General features: G+C 53.9%; 1 protein-coding gene and 1 long non-coding RNA gene across 10 annotated transcripts in view, besides 8 other annotated features; one reads left to right on the plus strand and one right to left on the minus strand.

Moving 5' to 3' along the window:
• MACROD1 (mono-ADP ribosylhydrolase 1) overlaps positions 1–13974 on the minus strand; it is a 167556-nt gene extending 153582 nt beyond the window's left edge. For all 6 annotated transcript variants that reach the window (XM_011544970.3, NM_001411019.1, NM_014067.4 and 3 more), the window contains exons 1-2: positions 13558–13974; positions 153–254 (exon numbers count right to left, since the gene is read on the minus strand). In XM_011544970.3, the coding sequence (XP_011543272.1) occupies positions 153–254; positions 13558–13855 (400 nt within the window). In that variant the 5' untranslated portion in view covers positions 13856–13974. The remainder of the gene's footprint in view (positions 1–152; positions 255–13557) is intronic.
• Positions 245–1240: an enhancer, noted in NCBI's record as "H3K27ac-H3K4me1 hESC enhancer chr11:63919856-63920851 (GRCh37/hg19 assembly coordinates)". NCBI's record gives its function as "activates a minimal SCP1, AML or CMV promoter by ChIP-STARR-seq in naive H9 embryonic stem cells {active_cell/tissue: H9 hESC(naive)}" and the evidence as "EXISTENCE:reporter gene assay evidence [ECO:0000049][PMID:30033119]".
• Positions 982–1201: a silencer, noted in NCBI's record as "silent region_3457". NCBI's record gives its function as "represses an Ori minimal core promoter by ATAC-STARR-seq in GM12878 lymphoblastoid cells {active_cell/tissue: GM12878}" and the evidence as "EXISTENCE:reporter gene assay evidence [ECO:0000049][PMID:35858748]".
• Positions 1241–2235: an enhancer, noted in NCBI's record as "H3K27ac-H3K4me1 hESC enhancer chr11:63920852-63921846 (GRCh37/hg19 assembly coordinates)". NCBI's record gives its function as "activates a minimal SCP1, AML or CMV promoter by ChIP-STARR-seq in primed H9 embryonic stem cells {active_cell/tissue: H9 hESC(primed)}" and the evidence as "EXISTENCE:reporter gene assay evidence [ECO:0000049][PMID:30033119]".
• Positions 13493–13993: an enhancer, noted in NCBI's record as "H3K27ac hESC enhancer chr11:63933104-63933604 (GRCh37/hg19 assembly coordinates)". NCBI's record gives its function as "activates a minimal SCP1, AML or CMV promoter by ChIP-STARR-seq in naive H9 embryonic stem cells {active_cell/tissue: H9 hESC(naive)}" and the evidence as "EXISTENCE:reporter gene assay evidence [ECO:0000049][PMID:30033119]".
• Positions 13531–13630: a silencer, noted in NCBI's record as "silent region_3458". NCBI's record gives its function as "represses an Ori minimal core promoter by ATAC-STARR-seq in GM12878 lymphoblastoid cells {active_cell/tissue: GM12878}" and the evidence as "EXISTENCE:reporter gene assay evidence [ECO:0000049][PMID:35858748]".
• Positions 13761–13840: a silencer, noted in NCBI's record as "silent region_3459". NCBI's record gives its function as "represses an Ori minimal core promoter by ATAC-STARR-seq in GM12878 lymphoblastoid cells {active_cell/tissue: GM12878}" and the evidence as "EXISTENCE:reporter gene assay evidence [ECO:0000049][PMID:35858748]".
• Positions 14099–18591, plus strand: LOC105369339 (uncharacterized). Of its 4 annotated transcripts, none has more exons than XR_950187.3 (3): positions 14099–14450; positions 17587–17859; positions 18414–18591. It is a non-coding gene; the product is annotated as an uncharacterized LOC105369339 (long non-coding RNA). The 4 variants fall into 4 exon arrangements; XR_007062704.1 differs by having other exon boundaries at positions 14099–14437; XR_007062705.1 differs by having other exon boundaries at positions 14099–14437; positions 17587–17757.
• Positions 14101–14360: a silencer, noted in NCBI's record as "silent region_3460". NCBI's record gives its function as "represses an Ori minimal core promoter by ATAC-STARR-seq in GM12878 lymphoblastoid cells {active_cell/tissue: GM12878}" and the evidence as "EXISTENCE:reporter gene assay evidence [ECO:0000049][PMID:35858748]".
• Positions 18285–18485: a silencer, noted in NCBI's record as "peak1294 fragment used in MPRA reporter construct". NCBI's record gives its function as "represses an SCP1 promoter by STARR-seq MPRAs in K562 erythroleukemia cells {active_cell/tissue: K562}" and the evidence as "EXISTENCE:reporter gene assay evidence [ECO:0000049][PMID:32103011]".
• Positions 18592–19550: the final 959 nt, after the last annotated feature.

Genomic DNA, 19550 nt, shown 5'->3' on the forward strand with positions numbered 1-19550 from the left:
ATAAAATAATTGAATGAGGTGATACACGCGGAGCACCTGCCTGCAGCAAGCACTCGATACATGCCACTGGACTAGCTCTTCTTGTCTGCACAATTCTCCCAAGCCACGGGTCTGGAGCCTGCCCACCAGGGCCTCCCCCGAGCAGGGCCTACCTTTCGCCATCTCCTTCCATGTCGGGATCTTCTTCAGCCTGACAAAGTCCTTGCAGAAGTAATGTTCCTCCCGCTGCTTGTCACTCAGGCCCTTCAGAAAGGCTGCAGAGGCAGGAAGGAGGATCAGGGTGGGGGCAGAGGAACGGGCCTGGGGCTTGCACCCCCACATCTCCTTTCTTGCCTCATCCAAGAATGCAAACCAGCTCTTCCTGTCCCTCCTTCTCTGGGCACACAGGGCAGGCATGCTGGGGAAACCTCAGAGGCCCCTAGAATATCTTGTCCTGCTCTCTTTGTTCAGGGAGGGAAACTGAGGTCTGGGGAGGCTGAGGGACTGGCTCAGGCATCGCAGACCTGGGTTGTGATGAATTCAGCTCTGCCACTTTCCAGCAGCGTCCACATCTCTCTGGGTCCCCCGTTTCTCCCTGATTAGAACGGGGGTGAAGACGTCCCCTGCAGAACAGCTCCGAGCTTCCTCCCACACACTAAGGCCAAGCCGGTTGGCAGCACTCAGCCAGCGACATTATCCATCAGTCCCACCGCCAGTCAGTTCTGCCCTCACTGTCACTGCATGCAGGCAGCGGGACAGCTGTCCTCCTCCAGGAGCTGCAGGACCAAGTGGACCTGGCACCTGTCCCCAACATCCCCCCCGGCAGCGGCTGAGGGCTCCCAGCATGACCAATGGGGTTGGAATCGTTCTCGTTTTACAGATGAGGAAACCGGGGCTCAGGGAGGTTGGGAGGCCACCCTCACACAGCAGGGACTTGAGTGAGGAGCCAGGCACCCCCCACCCGCTCACAGACTCGGGGTCCACCCTGGCCGGCTCCCCTTGCCTGAGCACTGTCCCATGGGCTCCGCCTTCCCTTGGGGGTGGCACCAGGCACAGAAACCTGGAACCCGTCTCAGAAGGGCCCGCCCCGACCGCGCCAGGCCAGGCTAGCAGCTCACGGGCTCCCCCTGCTGGCCCGAGGCCGCCTGCACACCCAGGCGCTCAGCCCAGCCTGGCACCCTGGACCACAGGCTCCCGGGATGGGGCAGCCCCCACGGCAAACAGCAAAGGCTACAATTGAGAAACTCAAAAAGCATCAAAAAATATGTAGAGGCGGGAGAGCAATTAGAGGAGGTGGTGAGAAAGGAAGGACTGCAGCCTGGAAGCTTCTATGCACATGGCAGTGAGGGGGACAGGTAGGTCCCTCCACAAATGTTCAGGGAGGTTGGGAGGCCACCCTCACACAGCAGGGTGTTTTCCCGGCCAGAGTCACTTCATCATCCAGGCCTCCATCTCCTCATCTAACCACTGCTGGCAGGGGTGATAACAACCCAAGGATGCTGAGAGCATTAGATGACAGAACTCATGCAAGGGGCCCAGTCCAGAGTCCCTGCTGGATGCAAAGGTGGGGTCATCACAAAAGGCTAGGCCCACCCCTGGTCAGCCCCCACTGCTGCTCAAGCCAGAGCCACCTTTCCTGGCAGCCACTTCTGCCCCCTCTTCCATAAACATGTTTGGGCACGAGTAGGTCCTGCATTCAGTACCAGCGCTGCCACCTGCCAAGCCCACCTCCCAGAGGACTCACTGCTGCAGGTCCCCCTCCACCAGGCTGTCCTGCCTGCCCTCAAATAATCCCGTCCCCTCCCTCAACGCCCGCATTCCACGCCCCTGCAGCTGCCCCCTCCTCTGCTGTCTCCACTTCTTCCCTCCCATGCTCCCTTCAGTCCACCCAGTCTGGTCCCTCCTTCCAACAAGGTCAAGGTCACCACACCCCATGCAGCGGCCCCTCCTGCCTTCCCTGTGGACAGGAAGTGTCCTTGCTGCTTTCCTCCCTAGGTCTTCTAATCAGTTGCACAGATTCAAAACGCTCTTTAAGCAAGCAACCTCCGGGGCTGTCCCTCCACTCTCTTCTGAGCCTCTGACCCCCACAGTGCCTGCCTGCTCTCATTCCCCAAAGCCCAGGCATGCAAAACAGAACGTTTGACTCTTTCCCCCAAAACGTCATTTTTTTGTTGCTCCATTCTTCCCTCTTTTTTACTCGAGACCCTGCACCAGGGGTCCCTCCCTTTCCATCCTCTTTTGGATTGATCCCCGTGACACCCTAGAAACCAAGCCTTCCTCTCACCCTCCAGGACTGAGCCTTCCTCATGGCTCCCTAGATCCCACAGACGCTCCCAACTCCCAGCTGATCTCCGTGTGCATCTCATCCCCATCTGTTCCTTGACCGGCAGCCATGGATCCTGGGAACATAAATCAGGTGCCATCCCTCCTCTGTTCAAAACTGCATTCAAACGCCGGTCCTCTGGCCTCTCTCCCACCTCACTCCCAATGCTGCCTCCCCCACTACACCAGTTCCCCAAACAGCCAGGCTGCTTCCTGCCCCAGGCCCTTTGTACCTGCTGTGCTCTGCAGGATATGGGATAGTTTGCTTTTGTTTACACTTATTCTTTTATTTTTTTTTGAGACGGAGTCTCACTCTGTCGCCCAGGCTGGAGTGCAGTGGCACGATCTTGGCTCACTGCAACCTGCACTCCTGGATTCAAGCAATTCTCCTGCCTCAGCCTCCCTAGTAGCTGGGATTACACGCGTGTGCCAGCACACCCAACTAATTTTTGTATTTTAATAGAGATGGGGTTTCACCATGTTGGCCAGGCTGGACTTGAACTCCTGACCTCAAGCAATCCACCCATGTCAGCCTCCCGAAGTGCTGGAATTACAGGCGTGAGCCACGGCGCCGGCCCCCTTTCTTGATCTTGGCCATCTTGACCTGTAGGTTCCATAGGGGATCTGCTGTGTTTGCCATCAGATTCCCACCACCTGGCACGGTGTGTGGGCACCTGAGGGTGCCTGAGGGGCACGCTGAGGAATAAATGAGCCAAGACCAAAGGTTGAGGGCGAGTTTGCTAAGTACAGAGTCTTCTAGGCAGAGGGAACAGTATGTGCAAAAGCCCAGAGGTAAGAGGGAGCCAGAGATGATCCCCTAATTAAAAAAGAAAAAAAAGAGAGAGAGCATTTGGGTGGAGAAAGTGAGGCCAGTCGGTCTCTCCAGGTCTGCCTCCCTGTCTGAGGACGGACAGATGCTGGTGGCAGCCGGCCTAGACCCAGGCTGCGCCTTTTCTTCTGTTATAGGTCCCGCCAGGTTTGGGTTCGTGACCTCCCAACACCATGCTCAGTTTGAAGCCTTGGGTTTTCCCATCTCTGGAATAGGGACAAGGCAGGCCTTCCCTTGCTAACACCCAGGCTTGCTGGGAGGGTCAAAGGAGAAGGTGGCTGTGTGCTGCAAAGTGCGGTCTACACGCCAGACACACTCACTCCTTCCTGGCGGCTAAATAATGCCCAAAGAGAACAAAGCAAACAGGACAAAATTGTGGAGAACTTTTTTTTCCAACTTGGGGACACAGCAGCCGGAGGAACTTTTCTAATTATTTGGGTCCCCAGCACTTGGGGAGACCAAGGCAAGCCAATCACCTGAGCCCAGGAGTTCGAGACCAGCCTGGACAATATGGAGCAACCCCATCTCTACCAAAAAATACAAAAAATCAGCTGAGCGGCCGGGCATGGTGGCTCACACCTGTAATCCCAGCATTTTGGGAGGCCGAGACAGGTGGATCACCTGACATCAGGAGTTTGAGATCAGCCTGGCCAACATGGTGAAACCCCATCTCTACTAAAAATACAAAATTAGCCGGGTGTGGTGGTACATGCCTGTAATCCCAGCTACTCGGGAGGCTGAGGCAGGAGAATCGCTTGAACCTGGGAGGCGGAGGTTGCGGTGAGCTGAGATCACACCATTGCACTCCAGCCTGGGCAACAAGAGCAAAACTCCATCTCAAAAAAAAAAAAAAAAAAAAAATCAGCTGAGCGTGGTGGACATGTGCCTGTAGTCCCAACTGCCTGTGAGGCTGAGGCAGGAGGATCGCTTCAGCCTGGGAGGTCAAGGCTTCAGTGAGCTGTGATTGTGCCACTGCACTCCAGACTGCCCAACAGAGCGAGACCTTGTCTCTAAATAAATAATTTGAATCCCCATATTTGTCACCTTGCACAACTGTGACCTCCCCACTGCGAGGCCTTGGCATGCCACTGTGTGGGCACTCCCAGACGGCTGGACCTGTGGCCAGAAAGTCAGGTACCCACCGTGATGCTGGCGGGACTGGTGGGCTGGGACCCGGACGGACCCCAGAGGCCTTGCTGAAGTGTCTCTGGCTGGGCAGGCCCTGGGAATCCCATGGAACTAGACCAGCGTGACCAGAGACACCTCAGGTGCCCTAGCAGATATCATCTGGCAGATGCCACCACCTTGTTCTAGAGAGGAGGCAGAGTGACCTGCCCCCAGTCACACATAAGCGAGAGGAACCTGAACTTGCTCCCACACTGCCCTCCCTAAGCATGGTAGCCTGGTCTGAGTGATCCACAGCCCACAAAGCCCCTTCTCTCCAGCAAAGCCCACAGGATTGCTCCACTTCCCAGAGACAGCATGCTGGCTCTGCCACCAGCTGGCTGGGCGCCGACCTTGAGGACATCTGTCAGCCCGTCCCTTCTAGTCTATGGACCCAAGTGCATGCCTCAGAAGGCCAGCAGGCCAGACAGCATGTCTGTCCTCACCACCAGAACAAGGCTGTGGCCTGGCTGATCCCCAAAGAGCTACACACTGCACTGGTTTCTGATTTATGGGGAAAGAAAAGGCCAACTGCGCCCATTCAGCATCTCACCTCCATGTCCTCTTATCGGCAATCCTCGCCCGCCAGGCCCCTCTTTGTTCCCCCTGGAGGAGAAACAGGGGCCTTAAGCCAGGAACATGCCCCACGCATTTCTGTGTTTTTTTTTTATTTTTTTGAGACAGAGTCTCACTCTGTCACCCAGGCTGGAGTGCAGTGGCACGATCTCGGCTCACTGCAACCTCTGCCTCCTGGGTTCAAGCAATTCTCATGCCTCAGCCTCCTGAGTAGCTGGGATTACAGGCATGCACCACCACACCCAGCTAATTTTTTGTATTTTTAATAGAGACGGGGTTTCACGATGTTGCCCAAGCTGGTCGTGAACTCCTGACCTCAGATGATCCACCTGCCTCAGCCTCCGAAAGTGCTGGGATTACAGGCGTGAGCCACCGCGCCCGGCCTTGCCCCATGAATTTCTAACATTTCCCACCTCCTCCTGTAAGAAGGACAAATGCAGACTTAAAGCACAAGTGAGTTTTATTTGTTATAAAAGATGTAAAACATGCATTTTCATTTTCTTTCATTTTTGAAGAGGCAAGAGTATTTCACAGTTCAGTGAGATAGGTGTTGTAAAAAGATGTCCGCAGTAAATTTTGATGGAGAGGCCTGACCCCAGACGAAGCTTCCAGCGGCTCCCAGGCACGAAAGCCAAGCAGGAGGAAGCAGGCTCCACCAGAACCATAAAGTGCAGCGGGCGAATGGGAATTCAATGCTGTGTTTTAAGAAGTGTCTTTATGGCACTTTGCAAGATGGTGTTCAGAGAGGTGAGGGCAGGCTGGGGCACCAAGGCAGGGCTCCTCTCAGAGAGAATGCCAGGTGGGCAGGGCTGATAAAGGCTGGGCTCCCAGAATGCAGCGGCATTTAGACTCGGTGGCAGGGGCATTAATCACCTGCGCTCACCGGCCCGCAAGAACAGGGTCTTGTCAAAGCCCACAGCTCGAGCAAAAGGGAGACGGAGCACGCAGCACCTTGGAGCCCCTCTCCTCTACCCTGCCCCCTTGTCTCTGCCCACACCAGGGCATTGGCAAGGCTGCGTCCCCAAAAGACAGGTGGGAGAAGCCCCCCGACTCCCAGGGGTACCTGGAAAATTTGCCAGTGCTGCAGTCAAATCAGATAAGCCATCCACTCTGGATGAAATCCCACGGGGGCTGAAATTAGCCCTGGCTTCTGCACAGTGTGGTGTGAGGCTGGAGCGTAGCAGCCCCACCTTGAGTCACCAAGGAGAGGATGGCTTAGGCTGTGCATGCTCAGGGCCCCAGCACGTGAGACAAGCCTACAAGAGCCCAGTGTCACCACGGCCAGCACAGAGCAGAGAGAGGAGACAGGCCTGAGGGCCTGAGGGGTGACAAGGAAGGGGAGGCTGCTGGGACCCATTCTGGGCCATGATATATAAAATCATTTCTTTTCTTTTCTTTTTTTAATTTTATTTTTAGGAGAGACAAGGTCTGGATATATTGCCCAGGCTGGTCTCGAACTCCTGGGCTCTAGCAATCCTCCCACCTTGGCCCCTAAAGTGCTGGGATTACAGGCGTGAGCCACCACGCCTGGCCCAAAGTGGTTTCTAATGTGATCCCAGCACAACCTCCAAGCAGGTGCCATTGGTCCCATTTTATGGATGAGGAAACTGAGGCTTGGAGAGCGAGGAAGCAGCAGCACGTCTCCACATCTGACAACAATGTCCCTGCTCTTTGTGGCTCACAGCTCTGCCTGCCAGGGGCTGTTGGAACAAGGACCCAAAGCCAGGCCCCTCCTGTGATGATACAGCGCCAGATACCGACAAGGGCCCAACCTAAGTCCCTCATGCCCAACTGCCTTTACAGTGAGGGTGTTTCCATGATCTTCTGATGAAAAGGCACTCCCGGGGGGATAAAGAAGTGCCTCAAAACTGAGGGTATTCAATTAGAGAAAGTAGGACGGGCACAGTGACTCACGCCTGTAATCCCAGCACTTTGGGAGGCTGAGGTGGGTGGATTGCTTGAGCTCATGAGTTCAAGACCAGCCTGGCCAACATTGCAAAACCCCGTCTCTGCAAAAAATAGAAAAATGAGGCCGGGTGCAGGGGCTCACACCTGTAATTCCAGCACTTTGGGAGGCTGAGGCAGGTGGATCACGAGGTCAGGAGTTCGAGACCAGCCTGAACAACATGGTGAAACCCTGTCTCTACTAAAAATACAAAAATTAGCCGGTGTGGTGGCACAGGCCTGTAATCCCAGCTACTCAGGAGGCTGAGGCAAGAGAATCGCTTGAACCCAGAAGGCGGAGGTTGCAGCGAGCCGAGATTGCACCAGTGCACTCCAGCCTGGGTGACAGAGCGAGTCTCCGTCTCAGAAAAAAAAAAAAAAAAAAATACAAAAATTAGCCGGTGTAGTGGCACACACCTGTAATCCCAGCTACTCAAGAGGCTGAGGTGGGAGGATTGCTGGAGTCTGGGTGGCGGAGGCTGCAGTGAGCCAAGATACCACCACTGCACTCCAGCCTGGGCAACAAAGTGAGACCCTGTCTCAAATAAATAAACAAACAGGCCAGGCACGGTGGCTCACTCCTGTAATCCCAGCACTTCAGGAGGCCAAGGCGGGCGGATCACCTGAGGTCAGGAGTTTGAGACCAGCCTGACCAACATGGAGAAACCCCGTCTCTACTAAAAATACAAAATTAGCCGGGCATGGGGGCGCATGCCTGTAATCCCAGCTACGCGGGAGGCTGAGGCAGGATAATTGCCTGAACCCAGGAGGCAGAGGTTGTGGTGAGCCGAGATTGCGCCACTGCACTCCAGCCTGGGCAACAAGAGCGAAACTCGGTCTCAAAAAAAATTAAAAAAACAAATAAATAAAAATAAATTAGAGAAAGTAACCCCTGGCTAGTAAAATCAGACACTGCTGAAGTGTCCCCAAAAGACTGAAAGTCTCCCAGCCAGGAAGATCCAGCCTGAAGGTATGTACATACCTAGAGGGAGAATGGGCCCATGGAAATGAGCGTCAGCCTGGAGGTAAAGAAAAGGAGTGTCCAGGGGGAAGCTGAATTTGGCCGTCAGCTTGGAGGACAAGCTGGGCCATGGGCTGGGCATCCTTCCATGGGTCCAGAGCAGGCACTCAGCACTGCATATAGATGGAAATACCGAGCAAACGCCCGGGGAAGGGGATCCTTGTGGGTGGGCTGACCCTTCTCAAACAGGGAAGCTTACCTGCCTTGCCCAGGGCAAGGCTTCCAAAATCACTCAACCAGCCCTGGATAAGATCGCATGCTCTGAGCAATCCTAAGATTACAATTTGGCTTCCATGAGGCTTTCCCATAGGGAGAGGAGGCTCTGCTCAGGCACACCTGAGTTTTCAGACCCACTGCCATTATATTTCCCCACCACAAACTGCACATATGCCTTCTGACCTATACGTCAGTCTCTTGTGAGTTTGGTTACTGTGTGCCAGGCTTTGAGAGAGGATCCTCTCAGGCAGACAAGTATTTGGAGGCCTATCTAGGTACAGCCCTGAAATGAGAGCACATGTCCATCAGAGACATGGAGAGAATGTTCAGGAAGCCAGGCACAGTGGCACACATCTGTAATCTCAGCGCTAGCACTTTTGCAGGCGGAGGTGGGAGGATCACTTGAGCCCAGGAGTTCGAGACCAGCCTGGGGCAACATAATGAGACCCTGTCTCTGCAAGACATTTTTAAAAACATTAGCCAGGCATGGTGGCACATGCCTATAGTCCCAGCTACTCAGGAGGCTGAGGTGGGAGGATGGTTTGAGCCCAGAAGTTGGAGGCTGCAGTGAGCTGTGATTGCACCACTGCACTCCAGCCTGGGCAACAGAATGAGACCATATCTAAAAAAAAAAAAAAAAAAAATGTTCAGCACAGTTTTATTCACAAGAAACCCAAATGCCTATCAACAAAAGAGTGGGGGCCGGGATGGTGGCTCACACTTGTAATCCCAGCACTTTGGGAGGCCGAGACAGGTAGACCACCTGAGGTCAGTATTTTGAGACCAGCCTGGCCAACATGGTGAAACTCCGTCTCTACTAAAATACAAAAATTAGCCAGGCGTGGTGGCGGGTGCCTGTAATCCCAGCAACTCTGGAGGCTGAGGCAGGAGAATCGCTTGAACCCAAGAAACGGAGGTTGCAGTTAGCCAGGATCGTGCCACTACACTCCAGCCTGGGCGACAGAGCAAGACTCCATCTCAAAAAACAAAACCAAACAAAACAACAAAAGAGTGGGAAACAAGCTGTGGTACGTTCATATGCTGGAACACTATACAGCAATGAAAAAGAGGGAACCATTGCCACATCCAATAACAAGGACGAACTGGCCGGATATTGAGTAAAAGGGGCCAGACTTCAAGAAGAGACAAAATGAACAGATATCACAAGAGTGATTAGCTCCAGACAGTACCAAGTGAAAAGAGGCGACTTCTGGCGTGATGGCAATGCTCTACCTTTTGACCCAAGTAGTGACTGCACAGTTGCATACACTGTGCACTGAAGATCTCTACACTTGCAGCACTTGACTGTCAAATGTAACTTGGCTGAAAGTGTGATTTGAATGTAACGATGAAAAGTGTAGCAGTCTTCAAGGGCCACGGCTCAGACCCTAATCAAAGGCAGAGTCCAGCTGGGGCAGCCCCCCAGATCTCCCATAATGTGATGGCTTAAAAAATACACTTGGCCAGGCACAGTGGCTCACACCTGTCATGCCAGCATTTTGGGAGGCTGCGGTGGGCGGATTGCTTGAGGCCAGGAGTTTGAGACCAGCCTGGGTAACATGGTGAAACCCAGTCTCTACAATAAAGGTTTTAAAACATTAGCAGCCCATGGCTCACACCTGTAACCTCAGCACTTTGGGAGGCCGAGGTGGGTAGATCGCTTGAGCTTAGGAGTTTGAGACCAGCCTGGGCAACATGGTGAAACCCAGTCTCTACAATAAAGGTTTTAAAACATTAGCAGCCCATGGCTCACACCTGTAACCTCAGCACTTTGGGAGGCCGAGGTGGGTAGATCGCTTGAGCTTAGGAGTTTGAGACCAGCCTGGGCAACATGGTGAAACCCAGTCTCTACAATAAAGGTTTTAAAACATTAGCAGCCCATGGCTCACACCTGTAACCTCAGCACTTTGGGAGGCCGAGGTGGGTAGATCGCTTGAGCTTAGGAGTTTGAGAACAGCCTGGGCAACATGTCAAAATTCTGTCTCTACAAAAAAATACAAAAAATTAGCTAGGCGTGGTGGCGTATGCCTGTAGTTCCAGCTACTTGGGAGACTGAGGTGGGAGGATCGCTTGAGCCCAGGAGGTTGAGGAAGCAGTGAGCTGAGATCTCACAACTGCACTCCAGCGTGGGCAACAGACCTTGTCTCAAAAGAAAAAAAAAAATTAGTTGCACATGGTGATGCGCGCCTGTACTTCCAACTACTCAGGTGGCTGAGGCAGGAGGATCGCTGAGCCCAGCAGTTTAAGGGTGCAGCTAGCTATGATTACACCACTGCACTTCAGCCTGAGCAACTGAGCGAGACCCTGTCTCGAAAAAAATTTAAATTAATTTTAAAAATTTTGGCCGGCCACAGTGGCTCACGACTGTAATCCCAGCACTTTGGGAGGCTGAGGCGGGCAGATCACGAGGTCAGGAGATTGAGACCATCCTGGCTAACACAGTGAAACCCTGTCTCTACTAAAGAATACAAAAAATTATCTGGGCATGGTGACGGGCACCTGTAATCCCAGCTATTCGGGAGGCTGAGGCAGGAGAATGGCATGAACCCAGGAGGAGGAGCTTGCAATGAACCAAGGTCGCGCCACTGCACTCCAGCCTGGGTGACAGAGCAAGACTCCATCTCAAAAAAAAAAAATTTAAGAAAATTGGCCAGGCCCAGTGACTCACGCCTGTAACCCCAGCACTCCGGGAGGCCGAGACGGGCAGATCACGAGGTCCGGAGATCAAGACCATCCTGACTAACACGATGAAATCCTATCTCCACCAAAAACACAAAAAAATTAGCCGGGCGTGATGGCACGCGTCTGTAATCCCAGCTACTGGGGAGGCTGAGGCAGGAAAATCACTTGAACCCCGGAGGCGGAGGTTGCAGTGAGCTGAGATCACACCACTGCACTCCAGCCTGGGCAACAGAATAAGTCTTCATCTAAAAAACAAACAAACAAACAAACAAACAAACAAAAATTAGCCGGGTATAGTGGTGGGTGCCTGTAATCCCAGCTACTCAGGAGGCTGAGGCAGGAGAATCACTTGAACCCGGGAAGCAGAGGTTGCAGTGACATCACACCACTGCACTCCAGCCTGGACAAAAAGAGTGAAACTGTCTCAAAAAAAAATTTTTTTAAGAAAATAAAAACACACCTTCAAATTCTTTGAGATTCTTTCTTTCAAGAGGTAGAGCCTAATTTCCCTCTCCTGGAGTATGGCCAGACTCCCTGACTCGATTCTGACCCCTAGAATAAAGCAGGAGAGACTTCGAAGACGAGGTCACAAAGAAGGCACTGCAGCTCCATCGGGGTCTCCTCACGATCCCTCTCGTGGAGCATATGCTCTGGGGGAAAAGCTTAGGACATCTATCCCATGTGAGGCACTCAAGCAGCCCCATGGAGAGGCCCCAAAGTGACCAACCGAGGCCTCTCACCAAATGCCATTTTATGGGAGGGAGCTGTTTAGGAAGCCCATCCTCCAGCCCTAACCAAGTCCCACCCGGCCTCAGAGGGAGGGAGACCCTGAGCTAGAACCACCCAGCTAAGCTTCTCTCAGTTTCCTGACCCTCAAGAGATGGAGAGAATGCAGGTTTGCTGTTTTACGCCACTAAGGTTCGGGGTGTTTTGTTACACAGAAATAGATAACTATTGGGGGATCTCCACATCTCACCCCCGAAAGCGTCCCTCTAACTGTGGCTTCAGTAGCAGGCAGAGCCCCAGACCAGCCCCACTCCTTGGGCCTGGCCCACTGTCACTCAATAACGGGTCTGGAATATCATTACCCAGCTGGATGCCTCTTCTCAGGCCACCACCCCTGAGACGCCTCCTCTGATCTCCCCAGCTCAGGTGGCCCCATCTGCTATGGTGTCTTCACAGCACTGAGGTTACCGGGCCTTGTCTCAGCTGCTAGAACACATTCTTTACAATAGATGCTTTGTAATCCTCACACCAGATTACAAGCTCCATGAGGGCAGGGCCCTTGCCTATCTGACACATGTCTGAGTCCCCAGCCTGACCACCTAGGGGGCGTTCAATAAAAGTTTGCTGCATGATTGGAAATCCCACCTCGAAGCAAAAGGGAGACCCCAGTGACAACACAGCAGCCCAGGAACCCCAGCCCCATCACAAGGTCCGGTTGCTTTCCTGGCACCAAGGAGTGGGGCTGTGGGGGCTGGATCCTAAAAACAGCGGCAGCCCTCGAGCAGGTGCCTGGGCACCTTGTCTCCGTAGCTCTTTCCCACCCTCCTGGGTTGTTGTCCTCTGAGAGAGTGCTCAGGGGAGCAGGGGTCTCTGTGGGGACAGTGGCTCCCCCTCCAGGGGTCTCTGCCAGCCCCAAACTCCTCCTGCTGTTCTGGGGCAAGGGCCAAGTGCCTGACAAGTTCTCCATCTGCTCACGGGCTAAAGTCGGTGCTTTCTGCCGTCACTTTTAGATCCTGGCGCAGGCCACACAATTCATGTCAGGAGTAAATCATTTTGATTTCCACCTCTGGTCCCGAGAAAGCCATCTTCTCTTCACCCCTAACACCGCAGGACCCCCCCATCCTGCCTGCCCAGCCCAGAGGCCACACCTACTCCACCACGGAGGCCCAGCCAATTAGCCACTTCCCTGCACTTTTGAAAGGGGATCCAGCCGGGAAGAGTCACAGGATCCCAGGAGGCAGGCCCTGAAAGGCAGGGGCAGCTGGGTGCCCGGCAGGGCTATTTGGGGCTCAGTAGCGGCAGCTTGGGTTCTCTCTCTCCCCAGGCCCCAGACTCATGCCCCCTCCAGGAGCAAGAGGAAGTGGTGTGATTCTTGAAGGGTGTCATCAGTTGTCACAGGGACAAGACCCCACCTCTGCCCTGCTCCTCTAACCTCTGTTCCTGGCATGAGCAAACTGCTCACAAGTGGCCAGAGGCCAGCGAGAAGGGGAAAAGGGCGCCAGACCACGTGCCCAGGAAGGCATCAGAGTGCGGGCTTGGGGTGGGGTGGAGGCAGGACAGGCCAGCCCAGGAAGGTCACTCTGTGAGGTTACGTGCCCCACCAGGTGGGACGCCAGCCCCGGAGCTGTTCCCTCAGCCCCATTCCCGAACACTTAAGAACCACACTGTGCAAAGTTTGGAGAGTCCGGGATCATAACCTCCACTTTGCCACCAGCTCCGAGTGACCTTGGGGAAGCCAGCTGTGGCACTCGGCCTCAGTTTCCCTCCTGCACAGGGAAGGAAGTTGGTAGGTCCTGCACAATCTCTGGGGTGCCCTGTGACCCATTCCAATGGGGTAAGGAAGGCCGCCTTCCTCACGCTGCCCCCTGCGTGGACACTTGGACCTGGTCTGGAGTGAATTGTTCTGTGGGGCTGGGAACACGCGCGGGGGCGGGGGGGGCTGTCAATGGGGAGGAGGGGTCCGTTCCAGGGCAGATGGGGCCTCAACTTCCCCAGGTCTCTCGGGTGGAAGGGGCTGCTCGCTCGTTGGGGGCCGCCCAGCCGGGAAGCTCCACGTGAGGCCGCCCTCTCCCTCGCGCCCCCTCGTGCTTACACTTACATTTCGCCTCCTTCCAGTCGGTGGAGGTGCTCAGGTCCACCTTCGCCGCCATGGCCAGGGGGGCCCAAGTGCGCACCCCGGCTGTCCGCCCCACCGCCGCCGCCCCCCACGCCCCAACTCCCGCCGAGGTCCGCGCACGGCGGCCGAACACGCCCAGGAACGCCGGGGGACCGCACGTGCTGCTGCGGGTCCTCGTGGCACCCGCCAAGTGTCCGGGCCGGGGGCGCGGGGGGACGAGCAGCTGCCCCGCCGCGCGCAGCTGTGCCAGGCGGCCGGACAGTCGGCTCTGTAGAGACATGAGCGGGCGGCGCGGGACGGCTCTCCGCCCACTTGGACTCTATTTACGGCGCTCGGGAGTGTCTCTCCCTTATTTACTCTGGGACCGGGTGGCGACTGCCAGCCAGCGGCGACCTGCTCGGAGCCAGCGGGAGGCGCGGCCAGAAAACCCGGGAGCGCCGCTGGGCACCCTGGAACTTGTAGTCCGGGCCGCCGGATGGGCCCACGCACTCGTATACACACGTGCGCGCCCGCCCGGGCTCCCAGTGTCGCGGATGGAGCCCCGCCTGAGCCCTTCGACTTCTCCCGTGGCCGCCAGGCGCCTCCCCTCCGCGAGACCTCGGCCGCCTCTAACTTTCTGGTTGGCTGAGCGTCGGCTTCCCCGGCACGGGCTGAAGCCCCCGGGCCTTCCACGCAGCCCCGGGCCCCTCTGCCGCTCGGCCCCGCGGCGGAGCAGGCGCGCCGGCCGCTGCGTATCGAGCTGGGAGAGCCTGGCGCGGCTTCCGCAGTGCCGAGCGTTTTGCAGCCTGGGAGACCCGGGCTTCTCTCCCCGCGGGTCAGCAGGGCACCGCCTCCACACCCCAGCCTGCCCTCCTAGGGACAGGTGCGACGAACGGGTAAATCCGGTTTGGGGACTTCTCCCCAGAGCCTCTGCCTTCTAACAGCCCCGGGGCCAAGGCTCAGCTGGAGCAGAATCTAGGACAGCTGGGGAGGAGAGTCGAGGGTGGAAATAGTGGAATTTGGAGGCAGGAAACTTAGGCTTCAAGTGGCGTTCAAGGGTGGAAGGATTGGGGTGATGTTTTTGTGTGTGTCTGTGTGTTTTTTTTTTTTTTTCTTTTCTTTTTTAAACAAAAACCGGCCGGGCGCGGTGGCTCACGCCTGTAATCCCAGCACTTTGGTAGGCCGAGTTGGGTGGATCACGAGGTCAGGAGTTCGAGGCCTGCCTGGCCAACATGGCGAAACCCCGTCTCTACTAAAAATACAAAAATTATGCAGGCGTGGTGGTGCATGCCTGTTAATTACAGCTACTCGGGAGGCTGAGGCAGGAGAATCACTTGAACCCGGAAGGCGGAGGTTGCGGTGAGCCGAGATCGTGCCATTGCACTCCAGCCTGGGTGACAGAACGAGACTCTGTCTCAAAGAAAACAAAACAAAAAACACGAGGATGGATTTTTAAGTACTTTTATATATTTTTATGTACTATTAATATTACTTTATGATAAATATAATGAATACAGGCCGGGCCATTATAATAATATAATGAATGTAATAATGAATAATGAATAAGTGCTCACACCTGTAATCCCAGCACTTTGGGAGGCTGAGGCAAGAGGATTATTAGAGGCCAGGAGTTCAAGACCAGCCTGGGCAATATAGTGAGACCCCCTCATCTCTACCCGCCCCCACACAAAAAAATTACCCTGGTATGGTGGTAGACACTCACCTCTAGTCCCAGCTACTCCAGAGGCTGAGGCAGGCAAACACTTGAGCCCAAGGGTTCAAGGCTACAGAGAGCCATGATGGCACCACTGCACTACAGCCTGGACGACACAGTGAGACCCTATCTCAAAAGTAATAATAATAATGAATATATTTTAATACGAGGGAGGAACGAGCCAGGGTTTCAGAGAAGGTTCTAGTACTAGTGTTGCTGCCCTAGGGTACCCTAGCCCCTTAAGACTCAAACTTCTTGAGCTGTCAGCTAGGAATAAGAGAGTCTGGCTGGTTGCAAACCTGCTCCTGTGCTCCAGGCCTCTGACTCTGAGTGTGGCAATAACCATGGATGGCCGTACGAGGATCCCTGACCTGCCATGGATGCAGATGGAACCACTGGGATGGTGACACGGGCTCACCCTTGGACTCCAGACATTAAATCTGCCCAAGAGAGGATCAGCATAGACTTGCCAGCAGCAGGGTAGGCAGTCATCAGTACTGGGAGTGAGGGCAAAGGGGAGCCAGAGGCCAGGAAGGAAGAGCCCACGGCCCCCAGCATTCCAGGACCACCAGCAAGGCCTGCACCCTCTCCTGAAAACATCAGCAAGGCACGGTTCAGGATGTAGGGGTCAGGCTCCAGGTCACCTCACCAGTTGTGGCCCCTCCAGTAACTCAGAGTAAAGGAAGGACCTTGCTGACTGCAACCAGGACAGCCAACACCTACATGCACGAAGTCCCAGCTGTACTGAGCTAAGCCCTCTATGTCCATTCCCACTACCTCCATTAGCCCGTTATATCCTCAGCTCTCACCCCCTCCAGGCAGAGAGATGATTGGCCCAAGGTCAGGTCAGGATCCCAGCCCCGACTTGGGTCCAGGTCTGTTTGGTTCCCATCTGCAGTCTGGAAAATGGTTATGCAGGTGTCACTGATTGGTGAAATGAGGCATGTGGGTGATGCAGTATATTACTTCTCCATTGCTGCTGTACCATTACCGCAAATTCACTGGCTTCAACGACACATTTAGTATCTTAAAGTTCTGTAGGACAGAAGTCTGATGTGGGCATCACTGGGTTAAAATCAAGGGGAACACGAGGCCATGTTCCTTTCTGGAAGCCCTAGCAGACAGCCTGTATCATTGCCTTTTCTGATTCCCAGAGACCACTCACATTCCTTGGCTTGAGACCTGTTCCTCCATGTTCAAAGCCAGCGCGGTTGCATCTGAGCATTCTCCTGTAGTGGCATTTCCCTCTGATACTCTCCTTCTGCCTCTCTCTTCCATCTTCAGGGACACTTGTGATTACATGGAGCCCACCTAGATAATCTGTGACAATTTCTCTACTTAGCTGATTTGCAGCCTTCATTCCCCTTTGCCGTGTAATGTAACATATTTACAGGCTCTAGGATTTAGGATGTGGAGTCTTTGGAGGGCCATTATTCTGCCCTGTGCAACCTTCCTGGCAATGTCTAGTGAGGATGATGAGGTAGAGGCAGGGTCCCCAGCCATAAGAAAGTCTTGGCGTTCAGGCCGGGTGCAGTGGCTCACGCGTGTAATCCCAGCACTTTAGAAGGCCAAGGCGGGTAGAACACCTGAGGTCAGGAGTTCGAGAGCAGCCTGGCCAACATAGCGAAACCCCATCTCTACTAAAAATACAAAAAAAAAAAAAAATTAGTTGGGCATGGTGGCACACGTCTGTAGTCCCAGCTACTCAGGAGGCTGAGGCAGGAGAATTGTTTGAACCTGGGAAGCAGAGGTTGCAGTGAGCTGAGATCGTGCCACTGCACTCCAGCCTGAGTGGCAGAGTGAGACTCCCTCTCAAAATAAATAAATAAATAACGCAGGTGTAGTGGGTCACACCTGCAGTCCCAAGTACTTGGGAAACTGAAACAAGGAGATCACTTGAGTCCAGGAGCTGGAGGTCAGCCTGGGCAACACAGTGAGACCTTGTCTCTAAAAATAAATAAATAAGTAACATGCATTTATTTATTTATTTATTTAGAGACGGAGTCTGGCTCTGTCGCCCAGGCTGGAGTGCAGTGGCATGATCTCGGCTCACTGCAGCCTCTGTCCCCCAGGTTCAAGGGGCAGCCTCCCAAGTATCTGGAGTTACAGGCATGCGCCACCATGCCCCGCTAATTTTTGTACTTTTAGTAGAGACGAGGTTTCACTATGTTGGTCAGGCTGGTCTCGAACTCCTGACCTCAGATGATTCACCCACCTCGGCCTCCCAAAATGCTGGGATTACAGACATGAGCCACTGTGCCCAGCCAACAAATATGTATTTAAAAAAACCATTTATATCGTGTTATTCACCTGCTCAGAAATCTCCAAAACCCACGTCCTACACGGCCAGGCTGCTGAAGCACCCTGGATGCCTACTGTGTACCAGCGCTACTGTTTCTTTTTGCTGGGATTCAGCTCTGCTATCACAAAGATAGTGAAGGTCCCTGCTAACAGCTCTCCGTGGTCTACTGGAGGCCTGGGTCACATGCGTAAGTGCTCCTGGGCAGGCAGCAGCATTCTAAACTTCAGTGAGGAAGGATATCTTCATAGAATTTGAGCTGGACCTTTTGGAAAAAGTAAAATTTTGCCAGGTATGGAAGGTGTGTATGTGTTGGGGGCGTTCCACGCAGAGAGGCCCACAGAAGCAAAGGCGTGGAAGTCTGTGGAATGCTGAATCTTCGGCTGGGGCTGTGGCATAGGGTGTTGTCAGTTGAGGATTTTTAATGTTGGAGAGGGGGTTTTGTGCAGAGAAAAGCTACCTACTGCTGCTTGTGTTTAAATTAATACTGTATTTATTAAACATAAATTTTAAAAACTAGTTTTTCTTAAACATCCAAGTGCAATTTGTAAATCTAGTTTTCTATGTATAAGCCTACTAATTTTTTTATAAAAGTAAGAACAATTATGTTCACTTATTCTTTAATATTTAATTAACTCATAAGTTCAACAGATTAAATTATTCTAAAAATTAATGCCAGTTACAAACTTAGGTAATTAAATCCTCTAATAGATTTTAAACTATATTTTACAGACTTAAAGTAGCTGATCCTCTCAAACACCTCAAATTCCAAGCAGAAGAGACTTACAAGGATTTTTTTTTTTTTCTTATCACTTAAGCAACTCTTTTTCTTTTTCCTTTTTTCAGGGACAGCGTCTACAGGGTCTGGAGCAATCATGACTCACTAGCTTTGACCTCCTGGGCTCAATCGATCCTCCAGCCTCAGCCTCCTGAGCAGCTGGGACTACAGGTGTGTGCCACCGCACCCAGCTAATTTTTTTTTTTTTTTTTTTTTTTCCCGTTAAAGGATTTATTGAAACATCAACCTTCACTTTATTTATTTTTTTTTTTTAATTTATTTTTTTATTGATAATTCTTGGGTGTTTCTCACAGAGGGGGATTTGGCAGGGTCATGGGACAATAGTGGAGGGAAGGTCAGCAGATAAACAAGTGAACAAAGGTCTCTGGTTTTCCTAGGCAGAGGACCCTGCGGCCTTCCGCAGTGTTTGTGTCCCTGATTACTTGAGATTAGGGATTGGTGATGACTCTTAACGAGCATGCTGCCTTCAAGCATCTGTTTAACAAAGCACATCTTGCACCGCCCTTAATCCATTTAACCCTGAGTGGACACAGCACATGTTTCAGAGAGCACAGGGTTGGGGGTAAGGTCACAGATCAACAGGATCCCAAGACAGAGGAATTTTTCTTAGTGCAGAACAAAATGAAAAGTCTCCCATGTCTACTTCTTTCTACACAGACACGGCAACCATCCGATTTCTCAATCTTTTCCCCGCCTTTCCCGCCTTTCTATTCCACAAGGCCGCCATTGTCATCCTGGCCCGTTCTCAATGAGCTGTTGGGCACACCTCCCAGACGGGGTGGTGGCTGGGCAGAGGCGCCCCTCACCTCCCGGACGGGGCGGCTGGCCGGGCGGGGGGGCTGACCCCCCCCACCTCCCTCCTGGACGGGGCGGCTGGCCGGGCGGGGGGCTGACACCCCCACCTCCCTCCCGGACGGGGCGGCTGGCCGGGCAGAGGGGCTCCTCACTTCCCAGTAGGGGCGGCCAGGCAGAGGCGCCCCTCACCTCCTGGACGGGGCGGCTGGCCGGGCAGGGGGGCTGACCCCCCCCCACCTCCCTCCCGGACGGGGCGGCTGGCCGGGCAGAGGGGCTCCTCACTTCCCAGTAGGGGCGGCCGGGCAGAGGCGCCCCTCACCTCCCGGACGGGGCCACTGGCCGGGCAGGGGGGCTGACCCCCCCCACCTCCCTCCCGGACGGGGCGGCTG

This window comes from Homo sapiens, chromosome 11 (genome assembly GCF_000001405.40).
Source record: "Homo sapiens chromosome 11, GRCh38.p14 Primary Assembly".
Classification (NCBI taxonomy): Eukaryota; Metazoa; Chordata; class Mammalia; order Primates; family Hominidae; genus Homo; species Homo sapiens.